At 42.9% G+C, this 3,884-nt stretch overlaps 1 annotated feature.

Moving 5' to 3' along the window:
• Nucleotides 2,882-3,151: an enhancer, noted in NCBI's record as "active region_23674". NCBI's record gives its function as "activates an Ori minimal core promoter by ATAC-STARR-seq in GM12878 lymphoblastoid cells {active_cell/tissue: GM12878}" and the evidence as "EXISTENCE:reporter gene assay evidence [ECO:0000049][PMID:35858748]".

The raw sequence follows: 3,884 nt of genomic DNA, 5'->3' as shown, positions 1-3,884 counted from the left end.
CAGTACACAGCCTCTCAATGACTCATGTTCAAGTTGCCATGAAGGGAGGAAGTATAGGGAAGATGTCATAGTGAGTACAGCAAGTATGTGCCCCAGGTAGGTCCCAGCAAAGAAGTCACAGCAGAGAGGCAACCACTGCAAGCAAAACAGAGGGTTGCAGCACAGCCCATACTTTACTTTGCAATGGGCAGAACCCAGCTCCATCCAGGCTGGGTCTATTTTGTAGCAAATGAGTACATTTCTGACAGAGCCAAATATGGCTCCTTTCTTGGGTCTCATCTATCCAAACACCTGTTTTGCTCCATCTTCTTCCTCTAATCGGCATCCCTAGGGAGCAACTCAGCAATTAAAGCTTCACTACCATACTGGGGTCTCTTGTTCCTCTGTAGCCTGACTCCTTCCCTCCATCTGGGCTTGTGTCTGTATCCACAAAGCATTTCCACCAGCTGCTTCACCACTGTTTTATGAATGGCAACATTGGGAGTGCAGCATGCCCTTAAGTATGGTGATGTGCAGAATGATTTTAGAGGGCACCTGGCTGAGCGTTTTTAGGCTTGAACTTACTTTAATGTGTGTTATGGACTGAATTCTGTGCCCCCCAAATTCATATGTTGAAGCCCTGACCCTCAGTGTGATGGTGTTTAGGGAATAGAACCTTTAAGAATGCAATTAAGGTTAAATGAGGTCATAAGGGTAGGGCTTGGATTCACCAGGACTGGTGTCTTCATAAGAGGAGGAAGATACACTGGGAGTGCACGCACAGAAAGAAAAAAAAAAAAAGCCAAGCGAACTCACGCGAGAAGGTGGCCAACAGGCCAACATAAGCCAGGGAGAGAGGCCTTGCCAGAAGCCAACCCTGCCAGCACTTTGATCTTGGACTTCCAGCCTTCCGAACTGTGAGAAAATAAATTTTTGTTTTTTAAGCCACCCAATCTGTAGTGTTTTATTATGGCAGCCCTAATAAACAAATACAATGTGTACCAGGAAAAAATAGGTAATTGGCATCTTAAAATGCAACCTCACAGATTATGTTGATCAGGGTTAAGTTTTTGAGATTAATAAAAATATTAAAAGAATAATAGTAATTGCAGCTACAAGAAGTGGTGAAAATTGTAAAGGTCTTATTCAAATAATTGAATATTAGGCAATAGTGGTTTATTGGAAAAGTGGCATTGGAAGAAAGCAGTCCCAAATTTGAATTTCAGCTTTGCCCTCCTTACCTGTGTGAGTTTGGAAAAGTCAACTTTTCTGAAGTCAGGTCCCCGATGGTCAAAAACAGGCACTAAGATTTTGAATTTGAATTTTCTTTTTAATGTGTCTGTCAGCCCCAGGGGCTGGGAGCACCTCAAGCCCGTGTCCTCATTGGTGTTCTTTCATGTTTTCCATGTGCAGCCCTGGACCTGCCCCCAACAGAATGAGGAAGGACATGAACTTCGTCACTTACTAGCTGTGCCACCTTGGGAGAAGTATTAGATCTCTGAAACTCAGATTTCTTATCTCTGAAGCAGAGACGATAATAACTGTCTCTATCTTAATGGTCTTGTTTTGATAACTAAATGAGGTAATCCCTGTTAAAGCACTTAGTGCACTACCTGGCATACTGTAAAAGCTAAACAAAGTGTTATCATTACTATTGGTTCTTAGTCAATGTTAGTTGAATATAAGAGCAAATGAGTGTTTATTCAAATGGATGGATGTATACTTGGTGAATAAGTAGGTGAGTGGTGGGTGGAAAGATGGACGGATGGATATATTTTTCAATCATTGAGTGTGTATGTATATTTATAAGTAAATTAGCTGATTGATGGATAAGTAGGTGGATGAATGGATAGATAAATGAGTGGATAGATGGATGGATTAATGGATTCAATGGTTGATTTTTAAATCAATGATTATAAGTATGTTCTTGGAAGTAAACAAGTTGATTCATAGATGAGTGCAAGGATGGATGGATGGATGGATGGATGAATTTTTCAATCAGCGAGTGTATGTATGCATTTATAAGTGAATGAGTTGATAGATGAGTAGGCAAATTGATAGATGATGAATGGCTTTTTCTGTCAATGAGTGTATTATGCATTAATAAGTTTATGAGTTGATTTATAGATGAATAGGTGGATGAATGGACAAATAGATGGATAAACTTTTTGAATGAGGAGTGGTTACAGAGGATTGGTGGATGGATGGACAGATGGATGGATGGATGGATGGATGGATGGATGGATGGATGGATGGATGGATGAACAGGCTGTAGCTGATCCATCTGAACCATCATCTGCTTCTTCTATATAGATAATGGCCACACGTTAAAAATAGACAGTGAAGGTGGCCTTGGGAATACAAGTTTTAGATGACAGTTAAGTGACAGTCGGAGGCGGTTCTTTCTTTTACATGGAAAGCCTGATTATGGGTTTATGGCAGTCTTCTTAAAGCTACGGAAGTGAGAGGATGATTTTGGGTCAAGAGCATTATCATTTTCAATGTTCCGAACTATTTAACTTCCCCTTCTCAGAAGTACATTTGCCTCTAATCTGATAAGCAAAAGCTCCTTGAAGCGCAATTGGACTTGGCCCCCAGGTACAGCGTTATTTGCAGACAGGCCCTGGGTAATCTGTCATACCTTTTTAATTACCAAGAGCCACCTGGAGATCATGAGCCTTTCTGTGGAGTCTGAGCAGGTTTTGAGTAAGATTGGGAAAATGTCAAAAGAGTATCTGCCACAGGAATTTTTATCAGAGCTATGGTTTCTTTCAAATAATCTGGCAGGGGTCTCAAGATCTCCAAAAGGGCCAGGTTTTCAGCAGCCAGATGTTTGTGGCATTGTCCAAAGAGCCTAGCTGGAGTCTCAGGACATGCAACAGAGATTGTGCTGCAGGCCAAGTGTCACGAGCCCACAAGTTAAAAATAAATGTGGTCGCTTACACACACACACCTGTTCTCTCTCTCTCTTGTCCCCCACTTTTTTTTCTTTCTGTTTCTTTTCTCACTTCAGTGACTATCTGTAACCACTACTCACAAATTCCACGGCAGCATTATTGCTCTGCAATATACAGCTTCTTCCCACACCTACACATCAGAGGCTTTGAGACTTTGCGTGGGGCTCCCACTCCTCTACCCTGTCAATTTCCCCTCTATATCAGAGGCTACAACAGACTCCACTCAGAGACTGGAGTTGGAGGCAGGCAGGCCTGGCTTTCAGCCCTGGCTCTGTTTCTTACTCTCCATGAGGTCTTGGGCTGATTACTTTAAACCTCTCAGAATCACTCTTTCCTTGTCTCCAAAATGACATTAATAAGCCCTTTCTCATAAGCTTGTTTTAAAATGAAATTATATATACTTTGCATGCTTCTTTGCTCATATTAGAAACTTACAAAAATGTTTAACTGATTACTCAGTATCCCGGCAGGCTACAAGTGAAAACTCAAAGGGTTTACCTGAAGGGAGGCTAATGAAGAGGCTATTTACAGAGGTGTGTGCAGGGTCAATAGGACCCATGGGCAGATCCCGCTCCTCTGACCTGTATCCTTCTAGGCCCAAAGGGGCAAGAGAACGGAAGCTGTTCCCAGGGCCTGGAGACAGCTTTGGACACAAAGGGGTTGTGTGACAGGACCTACAACAGTAGAAACAGCCAAACAGAGGTAAGACAGGAAGCAAGTGAGGAGGGAGATAGATGCCCCACCTCTCTTTCCTCCTGCCCTGGGACCAGACCTCCCTCTGTCCCTACCAGAGTCTCCCATTGTCTGAACCCCCAGGATGTTGCAAGACAAGGGAGCCAGATGATGTGGCCCATAGATGATGTGGGCTCAGAGCAGGCTGGGGGGAAGATTTGAGGTGGGGACATGCAGAGAATGACTAGCACAATGGCATGTGATATTTTCATCTTA

The sequence above is a fragment of the Homo sapiens genome, chromosome 5 (assembly GCF_000001405.40).
Source record: "Homo sapiens chromosome 5, GRCh38.p14 Primary Assembly".
Lineage (NCBI taxonomy): Eukaryota > Metazoa > Chordata > Mammalia > Primates > Hominidae > Homo > Homo sapiens.
Note: the sequence above shows the minus strand (reverse complement) of the source record. Positions and strands in the feature narration are given on the sequence as shown.